Raw genomic sequence first — 16,722 nt, 5'->3', positions numbered from 1 at the left:
TCATTTTTTCTTAATAAATTTATTCACAAAAAGTGATATTGCAGAGGGTCTGGGGGCTGTACATGGGCAGGGGCTTGGTGAGCTTTGTACATGGGGCTGGGAGACAAGGGAGCCTCCAGGTGGAAGGGTATTTTTTAATAAAAAAAATAATGGAGCTACAACCACCCCCTCCCCCCTCCCCGATTAAAAAGACACAAAAATAGACGTCTCTGAGGTAAACGGGGAGCCTGGGGCTTAAGGGTGTTTAAAGGGCTTCACAGGTGCCAGAGCTTAGAGGTGTCACAGGCACCGGGGTGGCTCCTGCATCAGTTGGTAGAACAGCACGTAGCCCTCGCTGGATGCCACCTGGTTTTCACTGACAGGGGAGACACTAGGAAAAAAGGAGATCGGGAAAGGGTTGTGGTCATTCCTGTTTACTCCCTTCTCCCTACAAGACCGAACCTCAGAGCATCCAGGAAATGATCAGGCAAGACCTCCACCTCTCCTTTCACCTGGCACTCTGCTCTCCTGGAGCTTCATAGAAGGGGAGGGTGTCAGGGCTGAGTGGGAATGGGGCAGGATGTAAATAGGAGGCTATTCTCACCGAGAGTCATTGTAGACATGCCAACCAGTCTGGCACCGGCACAGGGCTGTGTAGTGGCCATAGTGGACGCTGCCTGAGTGGTTGCAAAGGGCATACAGCTGGTATACAGGACTTCCTGCGGGGTTGGAGATGATCAAGTTCTATAATCAGAGCTGTGCCCCCACTCCTTTGGCTCCTTAGGACTTTCCCCACCAGACTCACCGGCTTTGTCACTGGCAAAGTCCCCTAGGCTCAGTCGCTGCAGTGGAAAGTCTACACCTACTGAACTTTTTTTGATGGAGCCTCGGGAGGCAGAAAATCGATTCAGATCTAAGCCCTGGTTAAGGAGCATTTGGGAGGCAGTGGGCCTCTGAGGGGAACTTCTTCTATCCTGAAAGCTGTCCTCTCCCCACTCCCGACACACTGGGAGCATCTTGTGGAAAAGTGGGTGGCAGACTTTTCCTAAGGAAAATTCAATTCTCTGGAAACATGGAGGAAAGAGAATGTATGGGAGGTATCCTAAGAGAAGTAAGAATCTGAAGATTAGGATATGGAGCACGAGGATTCGAGGGAATCTTTGTACTGTCAACTTTTTGGTACTTCGAGTTTTCTGCCGACATCGGTCACACACCTGAATAAATGGCAAACAGTGTTAGGTTAATATGCTCCTAACCTCAATTGGCTTTTCTGACACCCCGATCCACATACAAATTTAGTATGCTCTTCATTACAGCTGGATCCTCTTGGCTTCTCCCCTTTGCTCTAGGAGTACTAGAACAGATCTGAGACTCCAACACAAACCCAGATACATAAATATTATTCCCCATATGAAGACATCATGCAATCCCTTTTATCCACATGGAGTCCCCCCAGGTCTCCCACCCTTACTGTATCCCTTGTGAACCTCCACATACTGGGGCATTCTCCGACTCTAGCTCTTCTTCCTTAGTGAAAAGGTTGAAACAATCCCGCAGAGACACCTTGCCCCCAGCAAATCCTTTCTGGGGGAAAAGGGGAAGAAAGGTCAACATGTTCTGAATTTCCTTTTCCAACTCTTCTCAATCAATCCAGGCTTCAGTTCTGCTCCAGAAACCCACAGGGTTCCCGCCCACACTCTGGGGGTGGGTAGGCTTGGGTCACAGAGCCCCTGTCCTGTCCACCCCGGAATCCTCTGGAATCCCACCTTGGGGATGGGCAGGGACAGGTCACAAAAAACCTCGAAGGTCGTGGAGCGATACCCACAGGCCTGGCACTTGAGACAACTTTTCAACTGGCCCACAAACAGGTCTAGACAGAAGCACAGGGACAGGAGAAAAGGTCATTGTTGGATGTTATGAGATGATTTCTTGGATTTCCATCTCTTCCTGCCCCTTTGCTTGACCCTTCCTTTCCCACTACCAACACTCCTAATCAACTCTTCACACAGCTTCACATTTGCATCATCCAGTCTTGTTCCCATACCCCTTGATAGTATCGATTTTTCCCCCCAAGCCTGTACCCCCCTCACACACTAATTTTCCCTCATTGCTTTGCCCCATTCCATACCCACAATCTTGCTGTCCTCTCGCTCCAGGTAACGTTTCCACATTAGGTTGGCTCGGTCATCATCACTACCACAGATCAAAGGAAGTGGGGAGCACCCATGAGACAGCAGGAACACTGGGCACCCCCAACACCCACTGAAACAACCTACAGAGCCCTACTCCCCATCCACACCCCTGCTCCTTCCCTAAATTTCAAGGAAAAGTCAAAAGAATAATGCCTCAATGAACTTTCTAGGGAAATCCGAGGTGAGAGGAAAAGAAAGGAATGTACATAAGGGAAGAATATGCTGTCTTCCTCTACCTGTAAATGAATTATCCCCTTCTTCAATTTGGTGACATCCCTAGCATGATCTTCTGCCTCCATCTGCTCCCTTAGACTCCCCCTCTTCCTTCCTTCCTTCTACTTCTATGTTGCTTCTCATACTATTTTCTATACTAAAGGGTTTCCCTGGACCCTACATCTTCAATCTTTACTAGTTTAGTTCTATGAAGTGTGAATGATGCTGATAAACTACGGGGAAAGGAGGTAGAGGGAACGACCCTTACCTTAACTCAGGTTCTTCTAGCAGAGCCCCTCCTCGGCGGGGTGGAGAGGGAACTGGACCATTGGCAAGTATCGGTGGAGCCCGGCGGCCTCGGCGGTTGATTTCAAGGTGTAGCCGCTCCATGAGGAGCTTCAGGAACTCTTGGGCATCCTGCTGGCTACAGCCAGACAAAGAGTATGGGCAACTGACTCCTCTCCTAGTCCACAGACACTATTCCCTGCCCAGATATTGGTCCCCACTTCCTGGATGAAGAACATCTCAAGGCTCAGAACAATGCTGCCAGGGCCCTTGCTTGGCCCTACCCCCAGACATGGCCAGAGAGAAATCCCATAGCCTCCAGCTCTCCCACCTGTATCCAGAGAAGGAGGGAACATATTTCTGGAAGACAGCTCGGAATCGAGTAGGATTCACAGCTTCGCAGGAGTCAGGGTGCCAGAGGGCACCAATCACATCTGCAAAGGCTGTTGGGATGGGAGTGGGGAAGGCAAACAAAGGTTAATGTCTGGAAGAGGCAAGCAAAAGGTGGCTCAGAGGGTAGAAAATAACCTTTAGGAAAGTAGGCACTGGGAAAAGTAGATACAACTGCCAGATTTAAGGGTTGGGGGCCACCACCAGTGGCAGATGGACCTGCAAGTGGTTGGGGAAAAAGGGACTTGAACAGAGGGAGCAGGAGTTGTTGCCCCACCTTCAGTGAGCTCTTGGGCTCGGCCTCCTCCAGGCACCTCTTGCCGGAAGTCCCTTCTCAGACAGAAGTCCCGAAGAGGTCGAGTGCTGCTCAGACACTGCAGCACAGCATTCAGGAAGCACTGGGGAGCAGTAGGGACACTGCTGTTATCTCTCCAGACCACTGCCCAGGAAGCCTTAGAAGAGCTTCAGAGCTCTCCTTCCACATGCCTTCCCCAAGCTCGTGGGTTTTCCCCACCCCCAGCACCATTTCACATTCCTTTTAGAGAGGAAAGATAGGAGAATAGCTCTCACCGTGTTTCCCAGGTTTCGAAGGCCAACATGACCAGAGCCCAGAAGGAGTGTGTGATGAGCCTGGAAGGTCAGAGTACAATCGGCAAGTTCCTATATATCCTACCTGGCACTTTAACCTTTCAACAGCATGCTGCCCACTGCCTCCCCCATCCCATGCATGTTTCATCCCCAAACTCTACCCTATTCCCCTCACTAGGTATTCTAGTCTCCCTACCTCACTGGTCATGAGCAGTAAGCCCATCACAGCTGAATGTACCACGGACTCAGCCATGGCTGTCCCACCTGTTGCCCACTTACTCCTCTGCTCAGCTAGCTGACGTTGCAGCTCCTGGGGCAACTCCCCCAGCACCGGCATGGTTGCCCAGCTGCTCACCACTCCCACCTTTCTGCCCCCAAAACCCCCTCCTGCCCCCGTGGCCCCTTCTTGCCCTTCTCCTGCTGGCTCCAATTGCAATCAGCCTAGCTTACTTAGCTCAGAAAATGTGCAACCACGTTTGCTAAGATGTTCTGTGCCTGCCTCTCTTTAGCTCCAGAGATTAATTAGGCCTAGGCAGAGTCCCAGTAGAGAAGGTGCAAGCAAGGGAAAGGAAGGGCCTGGGGACCCAAAGAAGAATTCTAAATAGTTGGGGTAATCCCCTGGGGACCGAAATGGCACACCATGCTGAAGAGTCACCAACAACCCAAAAAAGGGTCTAGGAGGCTCAAGGGTATTTAAGCAAGGGAGAGGCATGTCCAAACTGCTGTAATGAAGGGCTGAGAAAGGAACTTCAGGGAAATGGGGGACAGAAAAGGCAGAGGATGGCAGGAAAGCACAGAGGAACATGGGCATGAAGGCCATGTGTGTGGCAAGTCCTCACCATCTTGTCATCAGAGTAGAAAGGCTCAGAGGACCGGGCGGATATCATGTGGAAGGAGCCATGGGAAGCAGGGGGCTCTGTCCGTATGCTGAACAGGGTAGGGGGTCCAGGAAAGCCCCCTAGGCGGCGGAGAGAAGTGCTACGTCTCAAAGTGGGTGGCTCAGGCCGGAGGGCCAAGCGGCTCAGTGCAGCCCCAAGCTCTCCGGTGCCACGGTGCCCTCCCAAGGCAATCCCCATTGGACGCAAGTCCCCACTGCTCACAGACTTGGAACGGGCTAAGTTGGTCCGAGATGGGAGAGGCAAAGCCACTGTTGGGGGTGGTGAGCCAGGCAGGGGAACCCCATGATCTGCTCGAAGGGGGCCTCTGGGACGAGGGCCTGAGGTCCGTCCCCGTCCCAGCTCCAGTTTCTTGAGCCGTTCATCAGGCAGACCTGGCCGGGGAGGCAGAGGTCGTAACATGGGGTTTGGCCCAGAGGCTGGGTTTCTGCGCTCCTTGCTGCGGGCCCTGGGGGCAAATGGTAGCTTGGATCCCACTCGGGGCTGGATATTAACAGGTGGCTCTCGGGTACGGCCCAGGCGGTGCTCAGAGGCCTGGGGCATTGTGGACACCACAGGCTGGACCTGGGAGGAGAAGAGAGTGTCAGCATTTGAATATGGGGGGAAATGGGAACCCAGGCTGCTGTACTGAACCCTGCCACACTAATTTTCCCTTATTGCTTTGCCCCATTCCATACCCACAATCTTGCTGTCCTCTCATTTCCACATTAGGTGGTTGGCTCAGTCATCACCACTACCACATCAACGAAAGTGGGGAGCAGTATACGCACTGAGGGCAGGAACCAGATCTATCGAATCAGCCATCGTATCCCCAGTACCTGGCATCGTGTTTGGTACAAAGTAAATACTTAGTATCTATTGGGTAAACAAATGAATGAAAGATAAGCAGCCCATGGCTTTGACCCTTTCTATACTCCCGACCCCTCCCTGCAGAACACATCTTTACTGAAAAGCCAGTGATAACTCCTATCTCGGCTCTAACGTAACATGGGACCCCATACCCGGCTAGTAAAGTAGGATGTGCCTCGGGTCACTTAAGACCCTAGCCAAATGGTAGTGTAGATGCAAGAATAACAGCCCAAAAGACAGCCCTCCATCCTCGAATCCCTGCCTCTCTGGGCTGCAAATGAAGCAGACTATATGGGTGACTTACGATCCATTCCCTCCCCCACCTCCGACCTCCGACATGGTGTCGAGGTTCAGAAAGCAGTAGTCGGGGATGGAGGACGAACAACTCCTTGACCCTTAATCTCTGCACTTCTCCCACCACAGCAGGGCTTTAGCCGGGTCCGCCCCCCTCGAGGGCAGAAAGGCCGAGACCGCTGATTGGCTACGGAATCCGGCGGCGTATTCCCCGCGGTCCAGGGATGCTGTCCCTCCAGCCCAGTTCTCCCAGGCCCCGCCGGGCCCCACGCGCCTTTGTGGAGAGTGTCCTCTCGGGTCTGGAGCAGTCTTCCCTCTGCGCCCCCCCACACCCCGCCATGCCATAACGCCCCGGCCCGTACCTGTCCCCCAGTGAGGCGGCGGGAGAGGCCAGCCAGGGCCAGGCCCCAGTTCAGGGCCACCCCCTACTACCCCCGTGCAGCCCCCCCGTGGGCCCGGCTGCAGCTTTAGCCGCAGCCGTTGCCCAGATCGCTCCCGCCGCAGGGGCCGCCGCCATCTTTGTTGGTCCCGCCCGGCCACCGGCCACCGGCTTCACCGTCTCTCAAAGCGCCTGCGCATCCACACCCGAACTCCTCCCACCGGTCCCTTGGCGCTTGCGTGAGCCCGCCCCCACGGCTCCGCGATCGACACCATGGAAACGCAGCCAAGTTTAGGGTCGCTGGTTCTCAACGCTGCCCAGAGAGGTCTTTAATCCATGACTCCAAAGCAAGTCCCTGAGGTATAGGGTGCCGTCGCCCCATCCTATAGCCCATAGGGATGGAGATCTGACAGTCGTAGTATGGCCGCGAGGCTTACAGCACAGATCCTTCCCAAACAGCAGGGGCGCAAGTATGGCAAACTGCAGGCCTGGGTCCAGCCCGCAGACCAGTGGAGAAGCATCTAGCACTTCACAGAGGGCTGGGAAGATCCCTGGAGGGCGGGAAGTGCTGGTCCGGCAAAACCACTTCTTGCAGGCTAACACGGTAGGGCAAAGCATGGCTCACCACTAAAGGACAAAGGTAGATCTGAGCAGCAGGGGGAACAGTCAACATTTCATTCCCACTCCTGACCAGAGCATCCCCTATTTCCGACTCTTTCCCAACCCAACCCGGCGTAGCTGTTCATGTGCCTCAGGTTTCAGCCCACTTGCCCTCTGTTAACAGCTCCCAATGAGAACCACAGGCTACCAGAGGAAGCAGCTTTTATTGATGGGTTATCTCCAGAAACCAGAAAGACTATATGTACTCACTTTCAGTTACCCCCGTGCCTCCAGAATCGCATGTTGCTCCACCTGGGGGCGGATATAAATTACCTCTAGATTGTCCAAAGCCCAGTCTTTCCCTTCCCTGTGCAGCCTTAGAAACTAAGTAGCAGTACTGTTTGGTGTGTGTTTGTTTCTTCCCCAGCAATGCCTACTGCAGCTACTTAGTAACAACTAGAGGTGGAGGGTGTCCGGGGAAGCAGTTAGATGAGTTAAGTGTGATGCACAGGAAAATAGTATCGTAGCCTATCAAAGGTCCCTCTGCCCTGCCTCAGTGGCTTGATTCTTCATTGGTTGCATTTCTCTTTGTGTTGGATGACGCCCTTCTGAATCAGATCAGGGATTTCCACTGCCAGCCATGGACCCAGCTGCAATACAAGGAAAATCCTGTGAGATTACTACCAGTCAATGCTTCTTGTTCCATTAGAAGCTCCTTCCTGGAGACAGATTCTGGGGGAACATGCTTAAGGGACATCACTGTTATTCCTTTTATTCTTAGCTGCTTTTCTTGTACTGCTCAGGGCCTAAGTCCCTCTTTCTCCTTTTATGCCAAATACACAAAACTTACCCCCAGAGCCATGAGATGAGCTAGTCCAAATTTGGGCACATTCCTGGCCCACAAAGGTTTGAAATGATCCGTCAGGCATATTTTGCCACCCCTATGAGAGGGACATGAAGAAGGTGTTGACATGCAAAGTTTACCATAAAGCACAGCAGCCTCTTGGGGGCATAGGAAGACTACTAGTGATCAGAATTGAGAACAAGTTCAGCTAAGTACTTTGCTTAGGCTCAGCAAAGGAGGGCCTGGCACCCCACTAGGCCAGCAGACCCTGGGAAAATCTCTGCCTCCAAAGTTCTTCCTTTTTTTTTTTTTCCTTACATCTTTTAAGTTCAGAGGTACACATGCAGGATGTATAGGTTTGTTACATAGGTAAACGTGCCATGGTGATTTACACATAGATCATCCCATCACCCAGACATCAAGCCAAGCATCCATTAGCTATTCTTCCTGATGCTCTCCCTCCCGCCACGAAGTTCTTCCTTAAGGCTTTCTTTGACTCTTTGCCATCTCCTATTCAGTCCTACCTGTACATCTTTGCTGTCTTTCCATCCAGCTCAGGAACTGCAATTTCTGGGGCAGTAGTAGGATATGTGATAGGAATCTGGAGAAATTATAAAACCTTAATAAAACAGAATCAGGATAGAAAGGAACTAATATAATCAGACATACATATTTCTTGGTTAAACTGAAATGTTAAGTAAAACTCCCCAAGGAGCACATCCATACCAGGATTCTGGATGTGGAGATGAGTAAATATAACTTATGCTTGCCTCAAACCTCAGCTTTTCTCTCCCATTTTTAAAGTTTTCTTTGGTCCCTTCAAGAAAGGATAGCTTGTTACCCATCATCTAATCCCTCCCCTTCTACTAACCTTCATATTTCCCACTCTATCACACTCACGTCAAACTCGATGTCAAACTCATATTTCAGGAGGTCATGGATATACCAGCATTTTCCAAACCACCTGTAACAAAGACCAAACCTCAGTCCAATTTGCCTATTCTTCCAGTACTCAAATGATATCTTGGCTTAGGCCACCAGCCTGGGAGACTCATAGGATGGGAACTGGGGAACTCTGGCGCTGTGGGAGTGGAGACAGCTAACATGTGACAGGGCAGCTTTGGTAGTGGGCGCTAGGATACCAAATTGCCTAACTCATATAAGACTCCCACCCCACACCTCCCAAGAGGGTCTACCTACCGAGTTCCTTCCTTGTTGGACTCCAGTCGGAACCAATCGTTGTCAGCATTCTTGTTGTTCTCCACATACTGAAAGCAGAGAATGAGGTCTTTGAGAGAGTAGTTGGGGCCAAGGGCAGTCCCCCTCTCCTCAAAAGAAAAGTATGTGGTTATTTTTTTTATTTTTTATTTTTATTGAGATGGAATCTCGCTCCCGTCGCACAGGCTGGAGTGCAGTGGCGCAATCTGGGTTCACTGCAACTTCCACCTCCCAGGTTCAAGCGATTCTCCTTCCTCAGTCTCCTGAGTAGCTGGGATTACAGGCGTGCACCACCATGCCCGGATAATTTTTGTATTTTTAGTAGAGACGGGGTTTTGCCATGTTGGCCAGGCTGGTCTCGAACTCCTGACCCCAGGTGATCAACCTGCCTTGGCCTCCCAAAGTGCTAGGATTACAGGCGTGAGCCACTACACCCAGCCGGTTTTTTTTTTTTTTTTTTTTTGAGACAGTCTCGCTCTGTCACCCAGACTGGAGTGCAGTGGCGCAATCTCGGCTCACTGCAAGCTCCATTGCCTGGGTTCACGCCATTCTCCTGCCTCAGCCTCTCAAGTAGCTGGAACTACAGGTGCCCGCCACCATGCCCGGCTAATTTTTTGTATTTTTTTTTTTTTTAGTAGAGATGGGGTTTCACCATATTAGCCAGGATGGTCTCGATCTCCTGACCTCGTGATCCGCCCACCTTGGCCTCCCAAAGTGCTGGGATTAGAGGCGTGAGCCACCACGCCCAGCCTACTTTTTCTTAATATGTTTACCTAATTTTTCTAACATTAGCAAAGCTGAAGACAAGGCTATACTGGTAAGTGGGGGTCTGCCCAGAACAGAGAATAGAATGGGCTCCACTCAATTTAGCAAGCACAAAAGACCTGAAGATACCATCTGGATTCTCCTCTCACTTCTCTGATAGTGTCTGCCCTCAGCCCACAACTCATTTAATGATAGACTCCTTCCCTGGGTAACTCCCTTCTAGCCTCATATAGTCCTGGTTTCAACTAACACCCACAGGCTAATGACTCCCAGATTTTCATCTTTGGTCCAGATCTTTCCTCAGAACTTCAGCCTTTAGTATCCAACTGTATGTTGACGTTTTGACCTTCATTTCACAGGTACTTCAAACTCAGCATTTCCATCTGGAATTTTTTATATTCCTTTGGATACACTTCCTGAATTATCCTCCTGAATTATCAATTTCAGGTGGCAGTATGAGCATTCACCCAAGGCAAAAACCTGGGAATCATCTTTGACCCTCCCTATCCCTTACTACACTAATCCATGTTATGCTAATTTTACCTTCTGAATATTCTACAAATCTACCTCTCCTCTCTATCCTCACAACTGCCTAGTTTAGATTGCCTTTTGTTTCGCTGAGATTAATGACAGCCTAACTTGTCTCTTACCTTCAGTCTTGTCCCTGTCAATTGTATTTTCCCCTTATTGCCAATGTGACTGATCTAAACCCAAATCGGCCATGTAATTCCTCAGCTTAATAACTTTTAACGGTATCCCAAAGCCTCCAAGAGAAAATTCAAGTGCTCAAATATGTCTCCTAGCTTTGTCTACCATTCCCTGCCTCACATTTGATGCTCTAACAACTCTGAGCTACTTTGTTTCTTCAAACACATCATGCTGGTGCCTGTGCCGTTTCTAGATTCTATGCCTTTGCTCATGCTGTCCCTTTTGGCTTGAATGTCCTTCTACTCTTATGTTTTATCAGGCTAGCTTATGTTTACTCTTTAAGTTTCAGCTCAAGCATTACCTCTTCCAGGAAACCTTCCGTGACCGAATGCAAACTGGATGTCTCCTCTTATGCTCTCAAAACATCCTAGCCATTTCTCGCTTTATATCTGTCCATATCTGTCTCAGTCTCTCTCCACTTAAACACTGTATTATAATGATCTGGTTTTGTCTACCTCAGTAAGTTCCTCCTTATTCGGCTTGGTATCTCCTCCCTAGGTTCTATATGCACAGTAATTTTTTTTTTTTAGTGAATGAATACATGAGGTAGGAGAACTAGAACTGCTGGTCTTTGAAGCAGGCAGAAACTACAAGGAAGACAAACTTTTCTCACCTTCCACAGTAGAGATAACTGAGAAGACAGCCCGTTTCTAACTATGAGCTAAACTCCCCAACTCTCTGTAGTTAACACCTACTTGAATTTTCAGCCCTAATGTGGCTTGAAAGAGTGAAGAGTGAGGCCAGGCGCGGTGGCTCACGCCTGTAATCTCAGCACTTTGGGAGGCCGAGGCGGGTGGATCAGGATCACGAGGTCAGGGGATCGAGACCATCCTGGCCAACACGGTGAAACCCCGTCTCTACTGAAAATACAAAAATTAGCTGGGTGTGGTGGCGCGCGCCTGTAGTCCCAGCTACTCAGGAGGCTGAGGCAGGAGACTCGCTTGAACCCGGGAGTCGGAGGTTGCAGTGAGCCGAGATCGCGCCACTGCACTCCAGCCTAGCAACAGAGCGAGACTCCGTCAAACAAACAAACAAAACAGTGAAGAGTGAAGAAGGGGGCAGAGAGATGCGGACTGGGAGTTGGCGCCCTGAGGATTTTTGTTCACATCCAGGTGAACAAACACCTGTAGCCAGGGAGACACGTCACCTTCTGGGGAAGCGTATCCCTAAAATAACTGCTGCTTTTAGCCGCAAGGTCTGGCCCCACTGTGCACCTCACCCGAGTCTTTTTTGCCCTCTCCCCACCATCCCTCCTTAGTCCCCGAGCCCCACAATAGTCCCATTTCTATGAATTTGGGCGTTAAACTTAAAAACCGGAAGCGGCTTCCACACGGAGCCTATTATTGAGGACACCTGATTTCTCCCAACCCTTATGCTACGCGTTAGACTGTAGAAACACAACTAACCCGGATAAGGGACTGATATTCCTCCTTCAGTCGCTGCACCCACAACTCACGATCTCGGGGTCCGGCGTTAGTCTTCAGCACCGGGATCTCAGACACAACACGTCGCGTGGCTTCATCCGCCATCTTGGACCAGGGCGCAAGAGAAACGCGGAAGTGGTGTTGCCTGTAGCTTACCTCAAGGCGCCGTCATCTTTACTATGGGAAGATGAGACGTTGGGTTGCTGTAAGACCTCTTTTGAATAAGATCTTTGTTTTCTTGTCACCTAGTTACCCGCTTGTGAGTGCATCGAGAAGAACAGAATGTAAACAGATTACTCCGTCCTATATATGACACCTATCATTAAAATCACCGCATAAGGCACAAAGGGTGACTTCCGTTCATGCTCAGAGAAGTAATCGCAGAAAACCCGGACACCTTCCCAAACTTGGAAAGCTCTTAGAACTTCAGGCTGCTGAAGGCATTTTTACTTATTTATTTATTTTTATTATACCTTAAGTTCTAGAGTACATGTGCACAACGTGCAAGTTTGATACATAGGTATACTTGTGCCATGTTGGTTTGCTGCACCCATCAACTCGTCATTTACATTAGGTATTTCTCCTAATGCTATCCCTCCCCCAGCCCCGAGCCCCCAACCCCAAGGCGCTTTTCAAGGCACTGACTTCCTAAAACGAGCGATTCGTGTTTCCTCTTCGAAGAACTTTTCCTTTGCTTATATATAGTCCTGCCTCTAGATGCAGTTATCCTGTAGAAGGATGTTTAACTCCTGATAAAGATTAGAAACCATGCAGAATCAAAAGACAAATCCCTGCAAGATTTCTGCCTTAGTCTAGCCATTCACTGAGTCCTAGACTTTTTTTTTTTTAGACAGTGTCTCAATCTGTTGCCCAGGCTGGAGTACAGTGGTACGATCATAGCTTACTGCATCTTCCATCTCCCGGGCTCAAGCGATCCTCCTGCCCCAGCCTCCCCAAAGTGCTGGGATTACTTGTGGGGAAACAATAAACAAACTCCAGTTGGACTTAAAATCTAAACACATTAATTTTTGCTTTTTTTTTTTTTTTTTTTGGAGACCGAGTTTCACTCTTGTTGCCCAGGCTGGAGTGCAATGGCATGATCTCGGCTCACCGCAACCTCCGCCTCCCGGGTTCAATTGATTCTCCTGCCTCAGCGTCCTGAGTAGCTGGGATTACAGGCATGTGCTACCACGCCCGGCTGATTTTGTATTTTTAGTAGAGACCGGGTTTCGCCATGTTGGCCAGGTTGGTCTTGAACTCCTGACCTCAGGTGATCCACCTGCCTCAGCCTCCCAAGGTGCTGGGATTACAGGCGTGAGCCACCGCGCCGGCCATTTTGGCTTTAATTTAAATATCCTGTTTGGCTGGCGTGGTGGCTCAAGCCTGTAATCCCAGCAACTTGGGAGGCCAAGGCAGGTGGATCACTTGAGGTCAGGAGCTCCAGACCAGCCTGACTGGTGAAACCCGTCTCTACTAACAATACAAAATTAGCTAGGCATGGTGGCGCACGCTTGTAGTCCCGGCTACTTGGAGGCTGAGGCGGGAGAATCGCTTGAACCCGGGAGGCGGAGGTTACAATGAGCCGAGATCCTGCCATTGCACTCCAGCCTGGGCAACAAGAACAAGATTCCGTCTCAAAAAATAAATAAAACCTAAAAACGTTAATTATAGATTTAAATATCTTGTTTGGCCGGGTGCGGTGATTCACGCAGATAACCCCAGCACTTTCAGAGGCCGGGGTGGGCAGATGGCTTGAGCCCAGGAGTTCGAAAATAGCTTAGGCAACGTGGTGAAACCCCAGCTGTACAAAAAATACAAAAATTAGCCGGAGTGGTGGCGGGCACCTGTAGTCCCAACTATTTTGGGGGCTGAAGCAGGAGGATCTCTTGAACCCCGGAGGTCGAGATTGCAAATGAGCCAAGATTATACCACTTCACTCCAGCCTGGGGGGTCAAAGTAAGACCAAAATTTTTAAAAATATATTTATTTATTTTATTTATGTTTATTTCACTGTTTATTCAGTGAATCATTCCAGCCTGTGGCAGTAAGTTTTTTTGTTTGTTTGTTTTGTTTTGTTTTTGAGACAGAGTCTCACTCTGTCACCCAGGCTAGAGTGCAGTGACATGATTTTGGCTTACTGCAACCTCCACCTCCTGGGTTCAAGCGATTCTCCTACCTCAGCCATCCGGGTAGCTGGGATTACAGGCATGCAGCACCACGCTCGGCTAATTTTGTACTTTTAGTAGAGATGGAGTTTCACCATGTTGGCCAGGCTGGCTTCGAGCTCCTGACCTCAGGTGATCCAGCCCGCTCGGCCTCCCAAAGTGCTAAGATTACAGGCGTGAGCCACCGTGCTCAGCCTCCAGTACAATATTGAGTAAGAGTGTTGGCGGGGCGCGGTGGCTCACGGCTGTAATCCTAGCACTTTGGGAGGCCGAGGCGGGCGGATCACAAGGTCAGGAAATCGAGACCATCCTGGCTAACATGGTGAAACCCCGTCTCTACTAAAAATACAAAAAAATTAGTCGGGCATGGTGGCGGGTGCCTGTAGTCCCAGCTACTCGGGAGGCTGAGGCAGGAGAGTGGCGTGAACTCAGGAGGCAGGGCTTGCAGTGAGCTGAGATCGCGCCACTGCACTCCAGCCTGGGCGACAGAGCAAGACTCCGTCTCAAAATAAAAAAAAGACAGTGTTACCAGCAGACATCCTTGTCTCGTTCTGCCTTTAGGGGGAAAATCAATGTCTTTCTCCTTTTTTTTTTTTTTTTGCGACAGAGTCTTCCTCTGTCGCCCAGGCCGGAGTCGAGTGGCGCGATCTCGGCTCACTGCAAGCTCCGCCCCTCCAGGTTTTAAGCAATTCTCTGCCTCAGCCTCCGGAGTAGCTGGGATTACAGGCGCCCGCCACCACGCCCAGCTAATTTTTTGTATTTTTAGTAGAGACGGGCTTTCACCATGTTGGCCAGGCTGGTCTTGAACTCCTGACCTCGTGATCCACACGCCTCGGACTCCCAAAGTGCTGGGAATACAGGCGTGAGCCACGCGCCCGGCTGTCTTTCTCCATTAAATATGAGGTTAAGCTGCAGATTTTTCACAGATGCCCTTGTCAGGTTGAGGAAGTTCCCTTCTGGCGTTGACGGTTTTTCTCAAAAGGGAGTTGTTTTTTGATTTTTGTTTTGAGACGGAGTCTCCCTCTGTCACCCAGGCTGGAGGGCAGTGGTGTGATCTCGGCTCACTGCAATCTCTGCCTCCCCTCCTGGGTTCAAGTGATTCTCCTGCCTCAGCCACCCGGTAACTGGGACCACAGACGCAGGCCACCATGCTCAGCTAATTTTTGCATTTTTTGTAGAGACGGGGTTTCACCCTGTCTGCCAGGCTGGTCTTGAACTCCTGACCTCAGGTGATCTGCCTGCCTCGGCCTCCCAAAGTGCTAGGATTACAGACATGAGCCAAAGCGCCCGGCCTTATAAAGGAGTTTTTCAAATGCTTTTTCCATGTTGATTGAGATGATGGTGTGTTTTTTGTTTTTTATCAGCATGCTATATATCTCTTTCATAAAAAAAAATGGATATTGGATAAGGCTAAGGCAGAGCTTTGTACTTCTTAACTAGAGATCTCTCTTCTGGGGAAATAAGATTTATTCCATTTTGGGTGTGGGCACTGTGGTGTGATATAGAGAGCAGAGATTTGGAATGAGGCTTTGCAATTTAATTGTCGTAAGACTTTAGCGGCGGGGTGCGGTGGCTCACGCCTGTAATCCTAGCACTTTGGGAGGCCGAGGGGGGCAGATCACGAGGTCAGGAGATCGAGACCATCCTGGCTAACACGGTGAAACCCCGTCCCTACTAAACATACAAAAAATTAGCCGGGTGTGGTGGTGGGCTCCTGTAGTCCCAGCTACCGGGAGGCTGAGCCAGGAGAATGGCATGAACCCAGGAGGCGGAGCTTGCAGTGAGCCGAGATCAGGCCACTGCACTCCAGCCTGGGCGACAGAGCGAGACTCCATCTCAAAAAAAAAAAAGGGTTACTTTAACTCTGTTCTTTAACTCTGTTAACTGTATTTTCTCAACTATAAAATGAGGATAAGGCTTATAAGGCTGGGCATGGTGGCTGACACCTATAATCCCAACACTTTGGGAGACTAAGGGAGGAGGATTTCTTGAGCACACAAGTTCGAGACCAGCTTGGGCAAAACAGAGAGACCCCGTCTCCACAAAAAGTTTAAAAATTAGCTGGACGTGGTGGCGTGCACCTGTGTCCCCATCTACTTGGGAAGTTGAGATGGGAGGATGACTTGAGCCTGGGAGGTCAAGGCTGCAATGAGCCGTGATTGAACCACTGCATTCCGGCCTGGGTGACAGAGGAAGACTCTGTCTCAATTTAAAAAAAAAAAGCTTATATAGTTATAACTATATACGCAATGGCCATTCATTTACATAATAGGCTGTTAGGATGAAATTCAGATAAATAAATGGCAGTATTCAAACTTTTATATGGTAGTGAAGCCAGGTTTACAAACAAAATCTTACCTGGAGTCCCAAATTATAATCAATATAGCGCTGCTCTTGTTCAAGTGCAGGCAGAAGACCTCTATCCCTGAGAATACTTCTATGGTAACTACTCATCACACTTTATTAATTGTATAATTGTCTTGATAGCCTGGAAGCTCAATCAGGGTAGGGATTGTGTATCTATCTTGTTCAATGCTGTGCTTCTAAAACCTAATATAGCGTCTGCCACAGATTAAATGTTCAATCAATATTTTTAACATCAATGAGTATCTTGATACATAAAGTAAGCACCAGAAAAATTGTCTTTATAAAGCTGCATGTTGTTTTTGTTTCATAGTTTTGGAAAACCACCCCATTTTTAATTTTTATTTTTTTTCCTTGAGACAGAGTTTCACTCTTGATGCCCAGCCTGGAGTGCAATGGCTGAATCTCGGCTCACTGCAACCCCCGCCTCCTGCGTTCAAGCAATTCTCCTGCCTCAGCCTCCCCAGTAGCTGGGATTACAGGGGCCTACCACCACACCCAGTTAATTTTTGTATTTTTAGTAGAGACGGGTTTTACCATATTGTCCAGGCTGGTCTCGAACTCCTGAC

The 16,722-nt window shown here is 49.6% G+C and overlaps 2 protein-coding genes across 15 annotated transcripts, besides 8 other annotated features; both read right to left on the bottom strand.

The window, feature by feature from the left end:
- USP21 (ubiquitin specific peptidase 21) lies at positions 4-6,227 on the bottom strand. 13 transcript variants are annotated; one of them, NM_001014443.3, is made up of 14 exons: positions 6,049-6,227; positions 5,221-5,361; positions 4,487-5,107; positions 3,630-3,689; positions 3,337-3,457; positions 3,001-3,112; positions 2,653-2,808; positions 2,108-2,172; positions 1,746-1,849; positions 1,477-1,563; positions 1,115-1,193; positions 785-892; positions 584-698; positions 4-370 (listed from the first exon to the last, which is right to left on the bottom strand). In NM_001014443.3, the coding sequence occupies exons 3-14, from the start codon at positions 5,084-5,086 to the stop codon at positions 280-282; spliced, it is 1,698 nt and encodes a 565-aa protein (NP_001014443.1). In that variant the 5' UTR covers positions 5,087-5,107; positions 5,221-5,361; positions 6,049-6,227; the 3' UTR covers positions 4-279. The 13 variants fall into 13 exon arrangements, with proteins under 13 accessions (NP_001014443.1, NP_001306776.1, XP_016856527.1 ...); NM_001319847.2 differs by lacking the exon at positions 5,221-5,361 and having other exon boundaries at positions 5,961-6,227; XM_017001038.3 differs by having other exon boundaries at positions 785-1,193; positions 5,221-5,398.
- Positions 5,999-6,148: a silencer, noted in NCBI's record as "silent region_1470". NCBI's record gives its function as "represses an Ori minimal core promoter by ATAC-STARR-seq in GM12878 lymphoblastoid cells {active_cell/tissue: GM12878}" and the evidence as "EXISTENCE:reporter gene assay evidence [ECO:0000049][PMID:35858748]".
- Positions 6,871-11,749, bottom strand: UFC1 (ubiquitin-fold modifier conjugating enzyme 1). 2 transcript variants are annotated; one of them, NM_016406.4, is made up of 6 exons: positions 11,607-11,749; positions 8,710-8,777; positions 8,410-8,473; positions 8,034-8,110; positions 7,516-7,606; positions 6,871-7,315 (listed from the first exon to the last, which is right to left on the bottom strand). In NM_016406.4, exons 1-6 carry the CDS (start codon positions 11,727-11,729, stop codon positions 7,235-7,237), a joined length of 504 nt encoding a protein of 167 aa, NP_057490.2. In that variant the 5' UTR covers positions 11,730-11,749; the 3' UTR covers positions 6,871-7,234. The 2 variants fall into 2 exon arrangements, with proteins under 2 accessions (NP_057490.2, XP_005245311.1); XM_005245254.2 differs by lacking the exon at positions 7,516-7,606.
- Positions 10,950-12,149: an enhancer, noted in NCBI's record as "MED14-independent group 3 enhancer chr1:161123368-161124567 (GRCh37/hg19 assembly coordinates)". NCBI's record gives its function as "activates an origin of replication core promoter dependent on BRD2, BRD4, P300/CBP and CDK7 cofactors, and independent of MED14, by STARR-seq in HCT116 cells {active_cell/tissue: HCT116}" and the evidence as "EXISTENCE:reporter gene assay evidence [ECO:0000049][PMID:35650434]".
- Positions 10,950-12,167: a biological region, named in NCBI's record as "MED14-independent group 3 enhancer GRCh37_chr1:161123368-161124567".
- Positions 11,387-12,167: an enhancer, noted in NCBI's record as "NANOG-H3K27ac-H3K4me1 hESC enhancer chr1:161123350-161124130 (GRCh37/hg19 assembly coordinates)". NCBI's record gives its function as "activates a minimal SCP1, AML or CMV promoter by ChIP-STARR-seq in primed H9 embryonic stem cells {active_cell/tissue: H9 hESC(primed)}" and the evidence as "EXISTENCE:reporter gene assay evidence [ECO:0000049][PMID:30033119]".
- Positions 11,442-11,831: an enhancer, noted in NCBI's record as "active region_1980". NCBI's record gives its function as "activates an Ori minimal core promoter by ATAC-STARR-seq in GM12878 lymphoblastoid cells {active_cell/tissue: GM12878}" and the evidence as "EXISTENCE:reporter gene assay evidence [ECO:0000049][PMID:35858748]".
- Positions 11,872-11,921: an enhancer, noted in NCBI's record as "active region_1979". NCBI's record gives its function as "activates an Ori minimal core promoter by ATAC-STARR-seq in GM12878 lymphoblastoid cells {active_cell/tissue: GM12878}" and the evidence as "EXISTENCE:reporter gene assay evidence [ECO:0000049][PMID:35858748]".
- Positions 12,012-12,061: an enhancer, noted in NCBI's record as "active region_1978". NCBI's record gives its function as "activates an Ori minimal core promoter by ATAC-STARR-seq in GM12878 lymphoblastoid cells {active_cell/tissue: GM12878}" and the evidence as "EXISTENCE:reporter gene assay evidence [ECO:0000049][PMID:35858748]".
- Positions 14,553-15,413: an enhancer, noted in NCBI's record as "H3K27ac-H3K4me1 hESC enhancer chr1:161120104-161120964 (GRCh37/hg19 assembly coordinates)". NCBI's record gives its function as "activates a minimal SCP1, AML or CMV promoter by ChIP-STARR-seq in primed H9 embryonic stem cells {active_cell/tissue: H9 hESC(primed)}" and the evidence as "EXISTENCE:reporter gene assay evidence [ECO:0000049][PMID:30033119]".

This window comes from Homo sapiens, chromosome 1 (assembly GCF_000001405.40).
Source record: "Homo sapiens chromosome 1, GRCh38.p14 Primary Assembly".
NCBI classification, from domain to species: Eukaryota; Metazoa; Chordata; class Mammalia; order Primates; family Hominidae; genus Homo; species Homo sapiens.
Note: the sequence above shows the minus strand (reverse complement) of the source record. Positions and strands in the feature narration are given on the sequence as shown.

What these genes read in the sequence shown, in the direction of transcription:
- USP21 (XM_017001036.2), bottom strand. Translation starts at nt 6,026, where the DNA reads ATGGCGGGGTGTGGGGGGGCGCAGAGGGAAGACTGCTCCAGACCCGAG. An exon ending in AGCCCAAGAGCTCACTGAAG is followed by an intron (nt 3,113 to 3,336) that starts GTGGGGCAACAA and finishes CCATCCCAACAG; the next exon opens with CCTTTGCAGATGTGATTGGT. An exon ending in CTAGAAGAACCTGAGTTAAG is followed by an intron (nt 2,173 to 2,652) that starts GTAAGGGTCGTT and finishes GATCTGTGGTAG; the next exon opens with TGATGATGACCGAGCCAACC.
- UFC1 (NM_016406.4), bottom strand. Translation starts at nt 11,729, where the DNA reads ATGGCGGATGAAGCCACGCGACGTGTTGTGTCTGAGATCCCGGTGCTG. An exon ending in AATATCAGTCCCTTATCCGG is followed by an intron (nt 8,778 to 11,606) that starts GTTAGTTGTGTT and finishes CTCTGCTTTCAG; the next exon opens with TATGTGGAGAACAACAAGAA. An exon ending in TCCAACAAGGAAGGAACTCG is followed by an intron (nt 8,474 to 8,709) that starts GTAGGTAGACCC and finishes TCTTTGTTACAG; the next exon opens with GTGGTTTGGAAAATGCTGGT.